This window comes from Homo sapiens, chromosome 11 (genome assembly GCF_000001405.40).
Source record: "Homo sapiens chromosome 11, GRCh38.p14 Primary Assembly".
Taxonomy (NCBI): Eukaryota; Metazoa; Chordata; class Mammalia; order Primates; family Hominidae; genus Homo; species Homo sapiens.
Genome location: NC_000011.10, coordinates 77,387,312 through 77,408,854, shown reverse-complemented (window position 1 = coordinate 77,408,854; position 21,543 = coordinate 77,387,312). Strand labels below are relative to the sequence as shown.

General features: G+C 40.1%; 1 protein-coding gene across 50 annotated transcripts in view, besides 1 other annotated feature; it reads left to right on the top strand.

Moving 5' to 3' along the window:
• Positions 1 to 21,543, top strand: part of PAK1 (p21 (RAC1) activated kinase 1) — a 207,993-nt gene that overhangs the window by 121,155 nt on the left and 65,295 nt on the right. For 22 of the 50 annotated variants that reach the window (NR_164798.1, XM_024448560.2, XM_047427054.1 and 19 more), the window contains one exon: positions 16,314 to 16,524. The exons of 3 other annotated variants lie outside the window; for them this stretch is intronic. Coding sequence is in view for 45 of the 47 variants with exons in the window: in XM_024448560.2 (XP_024304328.1) it covers positions 16,335 to 16,524 (190 nt within the window). In the remaining 2 variants the exon portion in view is untranslated. Of the gene's footprint in view, positions 1 to 622; positions 702 to 10,274; positions 10,450 to 11,696; positions 11,829 to 16,313; positions 16,525 to 21,543 lie in introns of those variants that run through there. 25 more of the 50 variants (NR_164797.1, NM_001376273.1, NM_001376268.1 and 22 more) reach the window with 9 other exon arrangements.
• Positions 12,726 to 13,227: an enhancer, noted in NCBI's record as "NANOG hESC enhancer chr11:77106673-77107174 (GRCh37/hg19 assembly coordinates)". NCBI's record gives its function as "activates a minimal SCP1, AML or CMV promoter by ChIP-STARR-seq in naive H9 embryonic stem cells {active_cell/tissue: H9 hESC(naive)}" and the evidence as "EXISTENCE:reporter gene assay evidence [ECO:0000049][PMID:30033119]".

Genomic DNA, 21,543 nt, shown 5'->3' with positions numbered 1-21,543 from the left:
TCTCTTGTTACGAAAAATGTCCGTTCAGATCTTTGCCAGTTTTTAAATTGGATTACTTGTTTTTTTTGCTATTAAGTTGTTTGAGCGCCTTATATATTCTCGTTATTAATCCTTTGTCAGATGGATAGCTTACAAATATTTTCTCCCATTTTGTGGGTTGTCTCCACTTCGTTAATCAACGGAATTTTTGTGAGCACTGTCCTTAAAGTGGGGGAGTTAGAGGGAAAGCAGAGATGAGAACGACAAGATTACTGTTTTATTGGCACTCACTGTCAGAATGTGGAGTGTGTGTGTGTGTGTGTGTGTGTGTGTGTGTGTGTGTATTTCTCCATAGTGGCTCTACTAATTTACATTTTTGTCAACAACATGAGGGTTCCTCTTTCTCCCCATCCTTGCCAGCATCTATTATTGCCTGTCTTTTTCTTTTTCTTTTCTTGAGACAGGATCTTGCTGTTTTGCTCAGGCTAGAGTGCAATGGTACGTACGATCGTGTGTATGTGTGTGTATGTATATATGTGTGTGTGTATATATGTATGTACAATATTCACAGAGCTTTGAATATTGCATCCATCCATTATCAAATATTTCTGAACCATCTACTCTATGCTAATTATGGTACTAGGTTGGTGGCGATACAAAAATTGAAACTGGCCTCAGTTGTTGCTCTCAAATGCAGATCAAGGAATGTGGACGCTCATGTGGTAAGTATTGTAGAAGGAAGCACAAGGGGCTGTGATAATGCAGAAGAGGGCACTTTTGATTTAGCAAGACAGTGGCAGAGCTAGGACCTAAACTTAAGTCTTCTCTGAAGGTGATATCTATTCTCTTATACCCTGTTATCTCCTGAGTTTGTGTATACATACAGTGTACAAAGAGTTTTCCTATATCCTCTTTTCTGCCTACTTTTGGGGCTAGACTCTAGGTACTGCTGACATGAAAAAAAGAACAATCCCATGTGGCAGGTCACTGTGCCATAGCCAAACAAACACTCATTACCTTGGAAGGGAAACAGACTTCGTCCCTGTTAACTTCTGGCTCGAGGCCACTTGGGTGACTATATGCTGAGCTCCCTCTCTGAGTCATTTGATCTCTTCCTTCCTTTCCTCCCTGTTCCATTTACTTAAATTCAATTTCTGGCGGGTTGCAGAGTCCAGAGACCAGATGCAGCTAGGCTAGGCATTTTCGCTTCCACTGGCCTCTATAGAATAGGGATTTAACACCTCATAGGGTTGGTGAGGATCAGATGAAATAATGAATGCGTGAAAATGCTTTGTAAAGTGCTATATAGATATCATTGTGGTTGTTCCCGAGTGCATTTTCAAGCCGTGAAAAATTGCTCAGATGCTATAGCCTGAAAGCCTAGGGTTGCCACTGACAGGCAAGAATAGGCACTCAGTATAGACACCAAGATTTACTAGACCCTTTCTCTGCCCTCGAAAAACTCACAGACTAATAGGAGAGGATTGAACCTCAATCCTCCGTGAGTAAAGGAAAAGGAGTGGGGTAGATAGGGCTTTAGGACTGGTAATTTAGTTCCATGGTCAAACAAAAACCACGAAGTATGTGCTTTATTTAAGGTCGAACAGATAGTAGGTGGCAATTATAAAAGATACTTTTAGTGACTTCTTATGATGTAACACAAAAAGGGGAAGGGGGACTTAAAAGTAGATTGACTTCAGTTCAAATCCTGGTTCTACCACTTACTGTTACCTGATTTTTAATCTTTTTAAGCTTCATGTATAAAAATGGAAGATATTCATACCTACTTTGAAGGGTTATTATAAAGCTTAAAAATAATCATATAAAAAAATAATAATAATTATATAGTAGGCACGTAATAGCTATACTTATTCTACAAGTCCCCTGACTCCTAGGCTGTTAAGGGCCCCTCTTCTGGATTCATGCAGCACCTATGTCTTTCCTCTCACCAATCAATAGTGCCAGTTACCATATTGTATTGTTATTGTGGTTAATGTATCTGCCTTTCCCATTAGTCTGTGAGATTTTTGAGGGCAGGGACAGGGTCTAGTAAATCTTGGTGTTGATACTGGGTGTCTACTCTTTTTTTTCCTTTGAAATCGTATCTCTGTCTGTTGCCCAGCCTGGAGTGTAGTGGAGCAATCTCAGCTCACTCACTGCAGTCTTGACCTTTTGGCTCAAGCAATCCTCCCACCTCAGCCTCTTGAGTAGCTGGGACTACCGGTGCCTGCCACCACACCTGGCTAGCTTTTGTATTTTTTGTAGAGACAGGGTTTCACCACATTGCCCAGGCAGATCTCAAACTCCTGAGCTCTAGTGATCCACCCACCTCAGCCTCCCCAAAGTGCTGGGATTACAGGCATGAGCCACTGCACCTGGCTTTGAGTGCTTACTCTTGCCAAGTCCTATTTAGTTGCTGAGTATACTTTGGTAAGCACAGCAGACTTACAAAAGCATATCGTTGCTCCTTTACAAAGCTTATCACTTATTGAGGGAGATATATAATAAGTAAACAAATATAATTACAACTCATGATGATGCTGTGAAAACCAAGAGTTCCGTTTGGTCTTGTTAGATTTGAGGTACTGATGAGAAACGCAGGTGGAGTTGTCTAATAGATGGTTTTTAGGCTGAAGAAAGCTGTTTGGTCTAGAGATCAAAACTTGGGCATTATCAACGTATTAATAATATGTAAAGCCATGAGAATGGAGGAAATAATCTTGGGAAAAGTGTAGTGTATCAGTAAGGAAGGTTCCGAGCAAGGAAGGTCCCAAGCCTTGGATGTGTGGATGATAGCTGGAGAAGGAGGATTCTGCAAACGAGGTAGGAGTAGACAGAAAGATGGAAGGAAAGCCAAGTGAGTGTACTTCCCTAGAAGACAGGAAAGTAGAGTATTTGAAAGAGAAGAGAGGTCAATTGCGTTTAATGCTGCCAAGATACTGAGTAACGTGAGGACAGAAAAATAAGGATTTGATTTGGCAAGATGGGGATAATTGATAATCTTGACAAGACTGCTTTTGATGAAATGGTAGATTGTTAGTTGGCAGACAGAAGGGGAGGAAGTGGAGATAGTTTAAGTAGACAGTTCTGAGAAGTTTTGCTATGAAGGGGAGCAGAGAAATAAGTGGTATTTGGAGGAGGATGTGGGTGTCAAGGGAAGGGTGTGTGTGTGTGTGTGTGTGTGTGTGTGTGTGTGTGTGTCTGTCTGTCTGTCTGTCTGTCTTTGAATAGGAGATGCCAAAACTTGTTTACATTCACCCAGTATTTCTCAGATCAGTCCAGAAATTTAGATACCATCTTAATTTTTCTTTTTTTTTTTAATCACATGCTGTATCTAATCTTTAACTCATTTGACTCTACCTTCAAAATGTATCTGCCTTTGAATTACTTCTCTCCCCCTATTGCCAATCATCTAAGCCACCATTAGTTTTCACCTGGATTATTGCAATAACTCCCTAATGGTCTCTCCACTTCTGCATTGTTCCCCTGCAGCCTGTTCTCCTCTGCTGCTAGAGTGGTCTGTTTAAAAACATAAATCAGATCAGTGCTCAAAACCCTTCAGTGTCTTTCCACACTTGCTGAAAAGCCAAATTTATTGTGGCCTATAAAGTTCCACACTGTCTGACCTCTGGTTACATCTCTGATCCCAGTCGCTTACCATATTTCTCTTTGTTTACTCAACTTTAGTCTTGCCAGTCTTTTTGCTGTCCTACATGCCCAGTGTATTCTCATCTAAGACATTTGTACTTATTACTCCTTCGCTTAAAATGCTTTTCCAGATATTACTATGATTTGCTGTCTCATTTAAATGAGGTCTTAAGTAACTGTTTCTCAGAGAAGCCTGTCTTGATTATCTTCTTTTATGTACCATGCCCCATGCATGCGCCTCCCCCTCATATTCACACATACACGTGGACTTGATATTGTGTATTTATTTGTGTATTTCTCTGTCTGCATCTCTTACTAGACCATAAACTCTATGAGCACAAGGCCTTTCTCTTATTCAACTAGATTAGTATTGGTACTTTGTAGATGCTCAATAAATGTTTGTTGAATGACTGAATATATCTAACAGAGAGGGAAAGGTTGACATAGCTGAAAGAGCAGATTATTCCAGGTGAGAACGAGTGAAGGAATACAGGGATAAGAGAGAATTGGCTTCGGATGAGAGGAAGAACACCTCCTTCATTGTAACTGGAAGGAAGAAGGAGAAAATGGATGCAGATACAGGGAGGCACATAGATTTGAGGGTAGGAAGATGTAGTTCTTCTGCCAAGATTTCTATTTTCTCATTGAAAGTAAGCTCATTGGCCGGGTGCAGTGGCTCACATCTGTAATCCCAGCACTTTGGGAGGCCGAGGTGGGTGGATCACCTGAGGTCAGGAGTTCGAGATCAGCCTGGCCAACATGGTGAAACCCTGTCTCTACTAAAAATAAAAAATTAGCCTGGTGTGGTGGCCTGTGTCTGTAGTTCTAGCTACTCGGGAGGCTGAGGCAGGAGAATCACTTGAACCCCCGAGGTGGAGGTTGCAGTGAGCCGAGATTGCGCCACTGCACTCCAGCCTGGGCGACAGGGTGAGATTCCATCTCAGAAAAAAAAAAAAGAAAGAAAAAGTAAGCTCATTAGCTAAAGGAAAGGGCTAGTGGAAAATCCAGTTGAATTCCCATTTGAGGTAGGGTAATCATATGTAGGAAAGTGTCTTAGCCTATTTTGTGTTGCTATGATAGAATACGACAGACTAGGTAATTTCTAAAGAAAAGAAACATATTTCTTAAAGTTCTAGAGCTGGGAAGTCCAAGGTACCTGCATCTGGTGAGGGCCTTCTTGCTGTGTTATTCCGTGGTAGAAGGTGGAAGGGCAAGAGAGCAAGAGTAACAAGGGAAGTGGGGGTGAACTCATCCTTTTGATCAGGAACCCACTCTCTTGATAACTAATTTACTCCTATGATAATGACATTAATCCATTCATGAGGCCAGAGCCCTCATGACCCAATCACCTTTTAAAGATCTCACCTCTCAACACTTGCAGTGAGGATTAAGTTTCCAATACTTGAACTTTGGGGACACATTCAAACCAAAGCAGAAGGTAATCATAACTTTCAAGTGAAAGCAGTTAACTGGGTTTTGTAATGTTCTCTAGGACATTTGGCTGCTTAAGTATAATGACAGTTGGGAGAAAGTTGAGTTCAACTATCCTAAAGCTAGGATTTTGCCAGTTAAATTTTGGAAAAGGAGGGAAGGGCAAGGGGTTGATGGTTTTTGATGTTTGAGTAATTTTGATGGATCATGATTAGATAAAGAGAGGAAAAAAAGGCAGGGGACTGCTGGATAGTTTATTGGAGCTCAAATTGAAGTCTAGGAATTGTAGTGGAAATTCTTGAGCAAGGTTGTCTCTGGAGTATATATGATTCATTCTATGTATTGGAATTGTTGCACATTTTGGTGATAAGGTCCTGGGTGTAATCATGAGAGTATTGGCTAACTTGGACTGGAGGTCAGAAAATGGAGTGGCCAGGGTGTTGACATGATCATCATTGTGGCTGTTGAAGTCACCTAGAATGATGACTAGAGGGGTTCAGAAGAAGATTGAACCTGGAACTAAAGCCTTTCAGTGGGAGTGACCAGAAAGTGAATAGTAGTCTGCAAAGATGTGCGATAGCAGCCAGTGGAAGCTACTCAAAGGAAAATATAGGTTTTTACAAGAGGAAGAGAAAGACATGGTTTGGAAATGGCACTGAAAATTAAGGACTACACTGATAGGTAGGGTGTAAGAGGGAAAACAGCTTCCAATTGAGAGGGCTTGTAGAGAAGCCTCTTCTTCAGGGCATAGCCAGATTTCTTTTAAGGTAAAGGAGCAAGAGTGTAGCCAGTGGCAAATGAGAAGTTCCAGAGGGAACAGTGGAAGGGTTCCAGAGTCACCATAGGGGGAGGGAATTTGGTCAGGTTAGAGGGTTCACAGAAAAGTTTGGAGATGAGAGTTTGAGTGATCATGGGTGACTGAAGTAAATGAAAACTGTAGGACTGATTGATTGATTTAGTCCTAATTACCTTTTAGAGGTGGGAGGACTGTCCCATTTTCATGCTATGGTTTTTGACACTTTGAGATAAACTTTTCCATTGAGGCAGCATGTGGCAATGTGGGAAATCAGGACATGTTCAGGCAGAGATTGGCTGGAAGGTCAACCAACTAGGAGACAGTACGATAGATTTCATTGTTTCCTGGGAGGTTGAACGAAGTGGCCCCTTTATGGTTCCTTCCAGCTCTCCGATTGTAAGGGCCTCAACTTTATGAGGCCTTACAGGCCTCAACCTGTAAGGCAGGTCATCCAATGGGAGGTTTGGAGGTTTGAAGGTTAAATTTCAATTTTTGCCTGAATTATTGGGAATAACTCAACTGGGGTTGCAGATTAGGAATTTCCCAAGATGGTAGGCAGAGGATTATAAGACCTGTAAATATTGGTTTCTGGAAGTAACTCTAGTGACTGTCTGCAAGGTGGTAGGAGTGAGGAAGTTGCGTAGGTGCGGATGGGGGTGGGGAGGATTAGAGGTACAGAGCCAGCCTAAGAGAACTTCAGTCTGTCACTCTAAATTTCTCTGCCGTTTCCACTTCACTTTGCTGCCTCTCATTCTTCTCTAATTGTAGGAAGCCTCCCAGATACAGTCACTTGTTCATTCTGTCTCAAATTACGTAATTAGTGTAGAAAGAGAGTTTTCAAGAGAATAATCAGAAGCTAGTAATGTTTTTATCACTCTTTCATTTAGTGATCTTAGGTAAATTGCATAACCCTATAGGTTCCAGGTTCCCATAAAATAAAGGTGTTTATTTTATAAAAATAAAACTGGCTGATTCTTCAGGATCCTTTCAGGTCCTGTGTTTTTTCTGCTAACCCAGGCTGCCTTAGTCAGTGAACCTTGGCTAATTACCAGGTGTGTACCAGCTCAGCCTAGGGATATAGAGATTAAACAAACTTCAGTTTTTTCCCTTGAGTTATTCATGGCCTGGTGAGGACAAGAAGCATGGATTATGGTTGATATAATGAAGTTTGGAAATTGTTGCATAGAAGTACACATAGAATGCTGTTACATTTCGGGAGCAGAAGTAGTGGGATCTGTTAAATTTGGGGGCTTCTGTGAAGGTTTCATAGGGGAAGTGAGTCAGGTTGGGCCTTGAAGAATGAGTAGGAGTTTGCTTGGCAGACAAGTTGGGGCATTTTAGGCAGAGAAAACAGCATAGGCAAAGGCAGGAACATGAAAGCATAGTGAGCTGGAATGACATGTTTAGGGAATAGTAGAGATGAAACTAAAAAGATAGGTGGGGGAAAGAACAAATATTTGTTGAACATTTATTTTGTGCCAGGCAGCATGCTAGGTGCTTTTATATATGCTTGTTAATTCTCGTGATAACTTTATAAAGTAGGTAGTCTTGTTTGCGTTTTACCTAAGAGGAAACTGAAGATCAGAAAGTAAAGTAGCTTTCCTAACCACCCAGAAACAGCCAACAGTTTTCCTCACTGTTGCTCTAGCAGGTGTTGCTAAACCAGAGCAAGTGGCCAGGCTGCATAGTGGGAGTATCTTTGACATGTTAGAAGGACATCCCTCAGCAAATTCAAGACTGCAGCATTCCAGTCCCCTGCCAAAGAAAACCTCCTGGCACAATATAATTAAAGATCAGATTCTCATAACCAGGCGTCAAGGGCATACAGTACTCCCCAGTTCTGGATGGAGTGTTGGTCATGCCAGTTGCAGCTGCTGTGAGCTGTTTGGACTAAAAAGTGTGATTAGTATATGGAACAGGTTTTATTTCTTCTTCTCGAGTTAATATTAGAGGTTATCTATTCCTTTCCTTTGCCTCTAGAGTCAGCAGTGTAGTGTGGTGTAGTGGTTCTATCACCACACAGGCCTAATTTCAGGTTCCTGCCTCTGCTGCCCACTAGCTGTATGACCCTGGGTGACTGGCAGCATCTTTGAAGCTTTGCTTCTTCTTCTTCTGACTTGTTTACTGTTCTGTCTTCAGCACTTCATGCATAGCTTGTCAAACGGTAGCTGACGAATTAATATTTGCACTGATGAATGAGAAAAATGATACCAAATAGATTTCCAAGTTTTCAGTAAACTCCAAAGTGTGATCTAATGTTAGTGATTATTAAAACAGCCCCAAATAATGCTTAAATCCTAGTTGTAAAAATGGTTAATCCTGAAGGTTTTCTGTGGAAACTGTTTCTAGAATTTTAGCAACTCTCTTAGGCAGTGTGGAAGACTCTCTTAAACTCCAGGTCTCATTGTGTGACTTGGACTAAGCACCAGAATTCGTTTATCTTCTGTGATGCTTAATCCCATTGTATGAACTCAAGGCATCACTGAGTCCTCAGTGCAGATGGGTAGCAGATGGTCTCCTCCTCCAGGCAATACCTCTTTTCTCATTGTCATCTCTCCACAACCTTGTTTTTTAATTAAAAGCCCCATCTTTTATTTTTAACATGGGGCATTTATTGCACAATTCTAGAGCTGCTTAGAATGGACCATTTTTCTGTCTAGTGCTCTACGTGGTGCAGAACATAAAAGACCTGCTGTGATCTGCACTGTCCCACTTTTTCAGTCTCCCATTTTAGTCCTTTATGTTGCATTCTGCCACACTGTACTCTCACATTTATGTTATTCTGTGGTCTGGATGCATTTGCCATCATCTTTCTCCATGAAAATCATTCACTCATTTTTTGTCTCTTTTCTTTGGGCCAAGCACTATATACTAATGCCTGGACCTACTCCAGACCAATTAAATCAGCGACTCTAGGGGTAGAGTTCAAGCATTAATGTTTTCCTCCTCAACATTTTATTAGGTAAAATTTCAAAAATCAGAAGAATCTTACAGTGAGTACCTGTGTACCCACCACCTAGATTCTCCTACCATTAACATTTTCATATACTAACTTTATCATATCCATTATATATTGACATGTATATTATGTTATAACCCTGTTAATCTTATTTCTTTTTTTTTTTTTTTTTTTTTTTTTTTTGAGACGGAGTCTCGCTCTGTCGCCCAGGCTGGAGTGCAGTGGCGGGATCTCGGCTCACTGCAAGCTCCGCCTCCCGGGTTCACGCCATTCTCCTGCCTCAGCCTCCCAAGTAGCTGGGACTACAGGCGCCCGCCACTACGCCTGGCTAATTTTTTGTATTTTTAGTAGAGACGGGGTTTCACCGTTTTAGCCGGGATGGTCTCGATCTCCTGACCTCGTGATCCGCCAGCCTCGGCCTCCCAAAGTGCTGGGATTACAGGCGTGAGCCACCGCGCCCGGCCAATCTTATTTCTTAAAAATGCATTTGAAAATAAATTACAGATATTAATATACTTCTCCCTGAGTACTTCAGCACTGGTGTAAAACTTCAGCACCAGTGAGCTTTAAGAAAAAAGCTCACAGGGGATTCTAATAGCCTAGAGTTAAAGACCACTAGTCTGACCTATTTGTTCTTTAAGCTGCTACTCTTAATACCACCTCTTTTCTGAAACTTCACTGATCACTCAAATTCAATTTAACATTTCTTTCATGTGTGTTTGGACATTTTACTGTTTGTACTGTTCTACAGCACTATTCACAATTGGCCTGGCATTGTGGTTTTCTAGGTTCTGCCTTCTGCTAACTAGATGGTGATAGCCTCTAGGGTCAGGTCATATTTTATTCATGATCTGTCTATCTACCTATCTATCTGTCTTCCTTCATCTATTTGTTCTTGGTTTCTAGCATACATAGCACCTTATATATTTTTATATGTAAGCTGAACTGCACTTGAACTGCACTTGAATGAAGAGCCTGCAACTGCAGCAAAAGGTGTACATACCTTTCATATGTGTTTGCTTACATATTCTGTGTTTATATTTTTTTGATTGGAGGAATAAGAATTCATTTATCTTTTCTGGCACTTAGCTCATGGTAGACTTTTAGTAAAAGTCAAGTCCAGCCTAAATGTGCTAATAACATTTTTATATTTGCCATTGGCTAGATTTGACTGAACTAATCATAAATCAGAAGTAGCGGAACACAAAGGGGCTAGAATTACCTCAAGAACAGTATAGTTGGAAAATCCTTTGGCAGAGAGTTTAAAGATGAGGTCTGATTAAACAAACAAACAAACAAAAAACTAAAGATAGACCTATCGTATGATCCAGCAATCCCACAGCTGGGTATCTACCCACAAGAAAGGAAATTGGTATATTGAAGAGATATCTGCACTCCTGTTTGTTGCAGCACTGTTCAAGATAGCTGAGATTTGGAAGCAATCACAGTGTCTATTTACAGATGAAAGGATAAAGAAAATGTGGTGTATATGCACAATGGAGTACTATTCAGCCACAAAAAAGAATGAGATCCTGTCATTTGCAACAACATGGATGGAACATGTACAATGGAGTACTATTCAGCCACCAAAAAGAATGAGATCCTGTCATTTGCAACAACGTGGATGGAACTGGAGGTCATTATGTTAAGTGAAATAAGCCAGGGACAGAAAGATAAACATCGCATGTTCTCACTTATTTGTGGGATCTAAAAATCAAAACAATTCAACTAATGGACATAGATAATAGAAGGATGGTTACCAGTGGCTGGAAAGGGTAGTGGAGGGCTAGTGGAAAGGGAGGGATGGTTAATGGGTACAAAAAAATAGAATAAATAAGACCTATTATTTGATAGCACAGCAGGGTGACTGTAATCAATAATAACAATTGCATATTTAAAAATAACTAAAAGACTATAATTGGATTGTTTGTAACACAAAGGATAAATGCTTGAGGGGATGGATACCCCATTCTCCATGATATGATTATTTTGCATTGCATGCCTGTGTCCACAATATCTCATGTACTCCATAAATATATACAACTACTATGTGCCCACAAAAACTAAAAATTAAAGATGAGGTTTGAGTTTTGCTGGGAAGGATAAGTAAAATTTCTATCAGTTTAAAGAGGGTTCTATCCCTACTCTACCTATAAATTGCTGTGTGATCTTAGGTAATTTCCTCTTGCACTCTGGACTTCAGTATTCCTACCTGTAACATTAGGCAGTCAGGTTGGATGACTTCCAAAGAAGCCTTTGGCTTTGATGTTATGTGCATCTTAAAATAGTTGATTAACTTGGTTTTGTTTTATACCGGTGACTGTGGAATCCAGGGTAATAAGAGTAGAAAGAGGTAGTTGTTGGTGAGCACATTCCTTCTCTGAATCCCTGTCTACTTTGATTCAGTATGTAAAGTACCTTACACACAGTGGCTACTTGAAAAGTGTTTTCTTTCCCGTCTTTCTACTGTAGCACTGTATCTTTATGCCTTGTATAGCATGCTTCAAAAGAGGCACAAATCACTTCCCCTCCTTGGTTGCCTCTTGACCAGTATTAAGTCTAGAGACTGCATAGCGAGAAACATCAAATTACAGGTCATAGGTGATGGGACTTCTACAGGGGCGATGGCTTATAAATTGCAGAGCCAGGACTTAAACCTGGGTCTCCTGACTTTAATTCCAGTAATCTTTTAAAATATTGCCCTACCTTTTGAAACCTCACAGTGATCCTGCATTTATTATAGAGTCATTCAGTTGATTCATAATTAATGCTTCAATATAATTAGTTGCTCATAAATTGTTAGGTTCCCTGAGCCTCTGGGGCATTGGTAAAATGTGATCGCTCTGTCTTTCTCTCTGTCTGTTGTATTCATTTGTTGTCCAGGATGGATAGAATGGTGCTATCTGAGCTGTTATAATGTTGGCCTCATGCCTAGCTTTATATTGCAGCACGTCTGAGGCATTGGTTTTTCATCCTTCCAAACTTTTGGTCTACAGAGACTATTAGAAGATTAAGGTGTGTATACTCACTTTATTCAAAAGTTGAGCATGTTTGTTGTTTTGGACCTGTTTTCCTGTAAACAAAGTTTAAAATGGTACAGGTTTTAAAATGTGCTAATTATTTTGATGAGTGTAGATATACAAAATGACCATTGGAGGATCAATGAGGGTAAAAAGAGGAAAGACTTGTGGAGAACCTATAAGAAAGGGCTTGTTGGAGGGCTGCAGGGAAGCTGGAAAGTAGTATAGAAACCTTAAGCAAGTTCAGAAGGAAGTGATTAAGAAAGCACAAAATTGTGTTCTGTGAGTATAGTTGAAGGTCCTGGAAATGTTTGGCATTGAGAAAATAGATTTGGGAGGTCTCAAAAGAGTATTTCAGGTATCTAAAGTTCTGTCTGGGGAAGAGATAGTGGTCTTTTCTGAATAGCTCTAAGATACAAGATTTAGTACTAACAGATGGAAGTTTTTTCTTTGTTTATTCATTCGTTTGTTTATTCAACAAATCTTTATTGATTACCTGTTCTGTGCCAGGCGTGGTGTTGCAGATCGAGAAATACATAGGACATGAACTTTGTTCTTGAGGTGTTTATAGTCTATGTCTAGCAGGGGAGAGGGGTGAAAGGGAAAGCAAATGTGTAAACAAATTATTGCAATGCAGTGTAAGAGCTTATTATAAGTGATAACTCATTAAATGAGATGGCTGAAGATAGAAGAGACAGTCTTTGGAGATTTTAGATTTCCTGTCATTGCAACTTTTCAAGCATAGACTGGATGACCTAGGCTGGAATGTAGTAAAAGAATTGAAATATTAGATTCCAATGCTTATTTTAGGTTTTAAGTAATAATGGAATCTCTTTGAAAGTGAAGATCTATCACAGAATTCTCCAAACATAGTAAAAGGACTGAGAAATGGAGAAAAGCCTGTATCAGGAAGGTTGGTGAAACCTTTGTTGGCATAATCGTGGGCTGTGGGCCTGAAATGGAGTTACATTCAATGAAGCTGTTGGTTGAAGGACCTGGGAGGCAGGGAAGGACTTGACTAGGGTATCAGATGGCTGCAGGGAGTGTAATTTTGGAACTGGCAGCCTGGAGTGGGAAGGTACACTTGAGAACTGAGACAGTAAAAGTTCTCTTGCGGGAGCTGAGGGACTTGAGTTACAGTTGGGAGGGAAAACAAAGGTAAATCTGGGAAGAGAAACTGGAAGAAATGGATAAAAAGAACATCAGAGTTAATCTGCATTAACAAGATTGTCCTTGCTTGCTTGATTTCTTTTGTTCAAAAAGAGAAGGAGCAGTTGGTTTGCCAAAGGTGGGTCAGGATGAATTATGCAAAGAAGTGGGGTTAGGGTTTGGCCTTGATGGATGAGTAAGATTTTTATCAGTCAGAGAAGGGAGAAATCATTGACAGGAAACACGTTGGGGTGTGTGTTTGTGTGTGTGTCTGTGTGTGTGTATAAGTAAATAAGAATACAAGTACAGTGGAACAGATTTCTGAGGTTTGAATTAGTTTGAATTAGGCTGTGTCTAGGTGTAGTGGCTTAGTTGATAAGGCAGGTTGATGTCAGATAGTGAAGGACCTTGAATTTTATCTGTACTAAACTTCCTAAAGGCAAGGTATATATCTTTATGCAAAGTTTGATTAATTAAAATATTTGAGTTCACTATGAGCTAGATACTATATAAAGCATTGTTGGATTGCAAAGATGACAAAATTGGGCCCAACATTTGAGGAACATTCTGGCTCCCAGGGAAGACATACCTATAAACAATTGTAATAGCAATAATAGAAGGGATAACCTGGAAAGTTACCCATTGCTTTGGGAATATGGAGGAGGGGGCACCTAACTTCTTGAAGTGATGAGGACACATTTCCAAATGGGTTCAAGGAAGAAATAACAATTGAATTAAGCCTTGAAGGATGAGTGAATTCATAGTTGAAGCATAGGGAAATTGGTATTCTAGGCAGAAGGATCAGCATGCACAAAAGCATAGAAGTGTAAAAGCTATGGGATATTTGAAGAAGTTGGAGAAGTTGGGTGTGGATAGAGTGTAAGGGAAATTAGAGTGGTAGTGGTGGGAAATGAGGCTAATTGGTGCATTTGGTCAAATAACAGAGGGCCTCTAAAAGCAAGCTAAAAACATCAGCTTTTATCCTGAGATGTCAATGAAGGGTATTTTGTTTTGTTTTGTTTTGTTTTTGAGACAGAGTCTTGCTCTGTCTCCAGGCTGGAATGCAGTGGCGTGATCTCAGCTCACTGCAACCTCTGCCTCCCGGGTTCAAGCAATTCTCCTCCCTCAGCCTCCTGAGTAGCTGGGACTACAGGCGCGCGCCACCATGCCCAGCTAATTTTTTGCATTTTAGTAGAGATGGGGTTTCACCATATTGGCCAGGATGGTCTCAATCTCTTGACCTCGTGATCTGCCCACCTTGGTCTCCCAAAGTGCTGGGATTACAGGTGTGAGCCACTGCTCCCAGCCAGTGAAGGGTTTTAAAAGTAGAAGAGTAGTGTGTTCTAAGGTTACTGACAGCTCCTGGATAAAGGATTGAGGAAAAAACTGGATGTGGGGGGATCAGTTCTTTATTAGAAATTGTTAAAAAAAAAAACTCCTATAGATTTTATTCATAGTATTTTAAGTAATTGATGCCTAAAGCGGTAGTATTCAAATCTGACTGGCATTGGGATCACTAATTTTCAAAATACAGAATTAGGTCTTAACTCAGCCGTTCTAAATCAAAATTTATGGAGGCCAAGCCAGGATATCTATATTTCTAAAAGCTCTTGGTAATTATTGTGCTGGTTTTTTGAACCCATTATTCTCTAAAGCACTGTTGTGTTTAACTCCAAAGAGCTTATATTTTAAATAGTCATGGTTAAATGTATAATTTCTACTGCAGCATGGAAGACTAATGAGCAATATTTTTAACTCTGGATACATTCATATGTATCCATTGTCAAGGACGTTTATTTAAGATAATAACATTTTCATTAAAACTATTGATAACATGTGATAGGAAATCCCCCCCATCTTTATTTATTTAGAGACAGAGTCTCCCTCTGTCACCCAGGCTGGAGTACAGTGGTGCGATCTTGGTTCACTGCAGCCTTTGCCTCCCATGTTCAGGTGATTCTCCTGCCTCAGCCTCCCTAGTAGCTGGGATTACAGGCACCCACCACCACGCCTGGCTAATTTTTGTATTTTTAGTGGAGAGGGGGTTTCAACATATTGGCCAGGCTGGTCTCAAACTCCTGACCTCAAGTGATCCGCCTGCCTTTGCCTCCCAAAGTGCTGGGATTACAGGCATGAGCCACCGCGCTTGTCCTATCCCCTATCTTTTAGATTTTATTCTACTGTTTCTCAGAAGTAGTGGAGATTTTGCCAGTAAATTCTGCACCATATAGGACAGGATGGTTACTGCATTGACCATTTTATATTTAGAAGAAGAAAGCCAAGCACAGTGGCTCTCGCCTGTAATTCCAGCTGCTTGGGAGACTGAGGTGGGAGGATTGATTGAGACCTGGAGTTTGAGACCAGCCTGGGCAACATAGGGAGACTCTTGTCTCCAAAAAAATTTTTTTTAATTAGATGGGCATGGTGGCGCATGCCTGTAGTCCCAGCTACTCTGGAGGCTGAGTGGGGAGGATCTCTTGAGCCCTGGAGTTTGAGGCTGCAGTGAGCTATGATTGTACCACTGCACTCCAGCCTGGGGTAACAGAGCAAGAATCCCATCTCTCTCTCTCTCTCTCTCTCTCTCTCTTTTTTTTTTTAAAGAACAAGGTAGAATTTCAGAGGAGGGAAACACTGGAGAGATTATATAGTCTCAGGGGTTAGCAAACTTTTGCTGTAAAGGGCAAGATAGTAAATAATGTAAGTTTGTGGACATACAATCTCTGTTGCAACTACTGAACTCTGCCAGCATCAGGTAAAAAAAAAAAGCCATAGACAATTTATAAATGAATGGGTGTGGCTGTGTTCCAATAAAACTATCTACAAAAACAGCAGCTTTCCTGACCCTTGATACAGTCCATTCCCAAGAGGGAAAGTGTAACTTGTCTAAGGTTATAAAATTAGAGGTTGGCAGAGAACTCACTATGTGGAATGCTGTTAGCAGTTTTATTTAATCTTCACATAGATGAATAAATGAAACCTAAGAGGTTGAAGAATTTCTCTAAAGTTAGTAAGTGGTACTGGGATTCACACTTAGTTTTTGCTAGGCCAAATTTCTGCTTTCAACTACATCATAATGGTTTTCCGTGCTTTGCAATGTCTCAGAATGGGAATGCAAAGAAAAGCAAGATATTGTGATTTTTCATTAGTGCTTGGCATATAGTAGGCATTTACATCAGTGAGTGTTAGCAATATCATGGTGTGCAGTGGAAGGACTTGAGCTAGACCCTGAAGGAAGGGCTGTATAATTTTGATTCTTTGCAATTTTTTAACATGTATTTCCTTTTGGTCAAAAATAATAAAAGAGTTATATTGTTCTTATTTCTGATTCTAGTAGCTGCTGCTGGTGGTGACAATGTCAAATAACGGCCTAGACATTCAAGACAAACCCCCAGCCCCTCCGATGAGAAATACCAGCACTATGATTGGAGCCGGCAGCAAAGATGCTGGAACCCTAAACCATGGTTCTAAACCTCTGCCTCCAAACCCAGAGGAGAAGAAAAAGAAGGACCGATTTTACCGATCCATTTTACCTGGAGATAAAAGTATAGTATTTGATTTTCTTCTCATCATTTATATGCTTTAAAAAAATTATTTTGGGTAACCTGGATAAAAGATCTGTTGTCTTTGACTTAATTTTCCTTTAATGTTTTCTTTCTGGTTAAATATTTCCCTTTCTCCCTACAGTGGCTGAAGCAAAATGGAAAATAGACCTATTTTTATACTCTATTAACTATATCTGAGCAAAACTGTAAGAGAATAATTATGCTCTTGCCAGATTTGGGACAATCTGAAGTGATTTATTTATTTTTAAATTCTTAAACTGTTTATGAAGCCACAAAATGTAAGAAAAATTGAAATGTCTTTATTTGGAATTTTTTTCCCCCCGAGTTAGTTTCAATTGGAAATGTTTTCTTTCCAAAATCTTGATTGCCTTTTCTTTATTCCAGCTTCCTGGTCCCACTTTCAGGTTTGGGGACTACGTATCAGTAAGAATGGCAAGTAACAGCTGAGAAAAGGATGCAGAGATAACTAGCATTCAGCATGAGTTTACTATGAATAAATTATCCTGGGCAGCCTCATTTCCTTTTTATTGATAAAACTTCTGTTAATAGAAGAGTAATCATATGATGAATAGTGGTGATTTTAACACTGATTTTAACACTGTTGATTTAATAGTGTATATGAAAAAGTCACCAAGATCCTCGTAGACAAGGTTGTAAAATAAAGGTTTTGGTGTCCACAACAAAAGATGACTTTTGTTTGGTACCAAAAATGTTGATTTAAGTGGCTGTTGCTCTGAAGTAAAGTTCTCCTTATATTTGTGGGCCCTGTTCTTATGGCATGCTAAAGATACTGGCTTTCTGTGTGTAAGTAGTTACCATGAGCTTCTGGTTTAGATGGAGCTGGGTCACCACTTACCAGCTTTCTGATCTTAGGCATGTCAGTTAACTGCTTTGACCTTTATTTAGTTTCCTATTTTAAAAGTGAGATATCATTTCACAGGGTTGTTGTGAAGACTACATACAAAGTTCCTAATAGAGTACCTTCCACACAGAAGGTATTTGAATGTTAGTTCTCTGTCTCTTTACTCCTTTGTCTCTGTCTCTTTACTCCTTTGTTGATGAATAGAAACTGGGAGGCATAGCTGGTAGACTACATGGTAAAATCAGAACTGAGATTCTGAAACAGTAGGGCAGATACAACAAGCACAATGGTAGATTGCGGAAAATATCTCATGTTGTAGAAAAATATAATTGCCTAACTACGGATCAGGGGAGATGGTAGATGGTAGTGTCATTAGCCCAATAGGGAACATAGAAAGAAGGAACAAATTAGGAGTGTTGGTGATTGGAGAGCAGGGAAGATGATTATTTTGGACACATTGCATTTGTAGTGTCTTTATATAGATATGTCTTATAAGCAGATCTCATGTATTGTAAATGTCGTACAAGTGAAATGAGAAATAATAAGGACTTTTAATGAGTACATTGGGCTTATATCGTTATGTGTATGAGTCCTTCTACTTCACCTTCACTTCCCTTTGGGTTTGGTGGCTTTGGGTAGAAAAGAAGGCCAGGCACAGGGGCTCATGCCTGTAATCCCAACACTTTGGGAGGCCGAGGTGGGAGGATTGCTTGAGCTCAGGAGTTTGAGACTAGCCCGGGCAAAATAGGAAGACCTTGTCTCTACTAAAAAAAAAAAAAAAAAAGGAGTCGGGCATGGTGGCGTGTGCCTGTAGTAACAGCTGCTTGGGAGGCTGAGGCAGGAGGATTGCTTGAGCCTGGGAATTTGAATCTGCAGTGAGCTGTGATCATGCCACTGCACTCCAGCCTGGGTGACAGAGTGAGATCCTGTCTTAAAAAAATAAAATAGGCCGGGTGTGGTGGCTCATGCCTGTAATCCCAGCACTTTGGGAGGCTGAGGCGGGTGGATCACCTGAAGTCAGAAGTTCAAGATCAGCCTGGCCAACATGGTGAAACCCCATCTCTACTAAAATACAAAAAATCAGCTGGGCATGCTGGCAGGCGCCTATAATCCCAGCTACTCAGGAGGCTGAGGCTGGGAGTATCACTTGAACCCGGGAGGCGGAGGTTGCAGTGAGCCAAGGTTGCGCCATTGCACTCCAGCCTAGGCAACAAGAGCTAAACTCCATCTCACAAAAAATAAATAAATAAAATAAAAGATATGGGTAAGGTGCTTAACCTTGATTTCCTGACTAATTCATTCATATAGTAGCTGCCAACTTCCTTGGTACAAGGGCTATGATCTGAGACAGTGTTAAATGCCCTGCAGTCTTCTTCCACATATGTAGCCACTTTGTTTATCCCTCAATTTAGATGTGTATTTATTTTTAATATTGTATCTTATCAACCAGTGTTCTTGATCTCTATAAATAGGCTTTCAGCCCAAGTGTCTACATGTAGTGAAAGAGGACTTTTTAAATTAAAAAGTTTAAATTGTTCTTGCTGACTCAAACTAGAAAGGTAATAAGATTCTCATCCAGTAGGCATCATCAAAACTAAAAACATTTATGTTTCAAAGGGCATCATCCGGAAAGCAAAAAGGTAACACACAGAAAGGAGAAAAATTTCCCAAATTACATATTTTATAATGGATGTGTATCTAAAATATGTGAAGAAGAACTATTGCAAGTCAACAACCGAAAGACAAGTAATTTTAAAATGGGCAAAATATCTAAATAGACATATCTCCAAAGAACATATACAAATGGCCAAGAAGCACATGAAAGGATTCTCAAATCATTAGCCATCAGGGAAATGCAAATCAAAACCACAATGAGATACCACTTCACACTCACTAGGATGGCTATAATAAAAAAGATAATAACAAGTGTTAGTGAGGATGTGGAGAAATTGCAACCCTCATAATTGCTGGTGGGAATGTAAAATGGTGCAGCCTCTGTGGAAAACAGTCTGGCAGTTCCTCAAAAGATTAAACATAGAGTTACCAGCAGTACATGAATGTTTATAGCAGCATTCATAATAGCCAAAAAGCAGAAACAACCCAAATACCCCATCAGCTGATGAATAGATAAATAATAAAATGTGGAATATCCATACAATGAAATATTTGGTAACAAAGACATGAAGTTCTGATCCGTGCCATGACATGGATGACCCTTGAAAATGCTGTGTTAAGTGAAAGAAGCCAGTTACAAAGGATCACATATAGTATGATTCTATTTGTAGGAAATGTCCAGCATTGGTAAATTCATAGATAGAAAGTAGATTAGCGGTTGCCTTGGGCTGCAGAGAGGGAGAGGCAATTAAAACTAGGAGATGATTACTAAGAGGGGTGGGGTTTCTTTTTGTAGTGATGAAATGTTCTAAAATTGATTTTGGTGATACCTGTCCAGCTCTCTGAATATATTAAAAGCCATTGAATTTTACACTTCATGGGTGAATTGTTTGGTAAGTGAATTACATCTCAATAAAGCTGATTTTTAAAAAAGAAGATTCCAGTCTGAAACAGCAGATGGAAGCAGAGCCTTCAGACATCATTGGAACCTGGAGGGACAATCTTATGTGCTAAATGGGAAAGTGGGGGTCTAGATATTGGGATTATAGTATTGGTTCTTCCATAAATTGGCTGTCTGATTTGGGTCAATTATTTCTCTGTAGACGTCAGTGCCTTCATCTAGAAAAGGAGAGAGAGCAGTAGGCATGTGCAGTTTCTTTTAGCTTTAGAATCCTATAACTGGCCAGGCACGGTGGCTCATGCCTGTAATCCCACCACTTTGGGAGGCCGAGGCGGGTGGATCACGAGGTCAGGAGATGGAGACCATCCTGGCTAACACGGTGAAACCCCGTCTCTACTAGAAATACAAAAAATAAGCCGGGCGTGGTGGCGGGTGCCTGTAGTCCCAGCTGCTGGGGAGGCTGAGGCAGGAGAATGGCGTGAACCCAGGAGGCGGAGCTTGCAGTGAGCCAAGATTGCGCCACTGCACTTCAGCCTGGGCGACAGAGCGAGACTCCGTCTCAAAAAACAAAATAAAATAAAATAGAATCCTATAATTACATAAATGTGATGTTGCAAAGGCGTGGTTAGATCAGGCTTGTCTATATAGGTGAAAAGAAACTAGGCCATTGTAAAGTACTTTATTCAATGATACAGCTGTAGAAAATCCTAGGCTAAATCTAAGTAACCTTAGGCTAAATCTGATCTGAAAATACATCTCATAGCCTCAAGATCAAAACTGCATCTCTGCAGGCTGAAAACATAGAGGTAGAAAACATACAGAGTTATAAGAAGTTCTTGCAAAATGATCTAACTATCTTTCATCCTTTGGTTACAGATTTTCTATATTTGCCCTGGGCACATAGGTTTCATCCCTTTGCTTTAAGACCCTTGATGGCTATAACTAATGCATACATCAAAATGAAAGAAGTCTGAGGTGTTTTTCTTTTGTTTGGAGCCTTTGATCAACCAGTAAGCTACTCAACTTAGTCCTATAAGGATACACAGCAGTGTTGGTAGTCTTTGAAGTGGTATATGCCCTTCATGTAGTATTTGAGCATTTATACCAGCTGCATAGAGTTATGTCTGGAACTGGACTTATAACACAGATTGAGTCCAGCCACTGACATTTGTTAACTCTGATTTATTTTTTAAATTTCATTCCAATATCCTCACTTCCCATTCATCCTATATCATTAGTAGGCTTTTGTCATTTGACATAGTAGATATAAAAGCATTTTCTAAACTAAAATGCAATACAAATAGGAGGTTTGTTTTTTAAAAATGGAAACCTCATTTATTGTTTTATTTGATACCTACAACAACTCATTTTTAGTTGGGGAGGCTAAGGCTTAGAGAAAAGTAAGTTGCTCAAGGTCTCACAAGTGGAAAGTGGGAGAGCTGAGTATGGAACTAAGTCTTCCTAAATTATCTGTTCCATTGTAACATAACTATCTCTCTTAGTTGTTCTCAACCCTGATTACATGTTGGACTCACTTATGGTGCTTTTAAAAAATACAGGGCGGGGTGCAAGTGGCTCACGCCTGTAACCCCAGAAGTTTGGGAGGCCGAGGCGGGCGGAT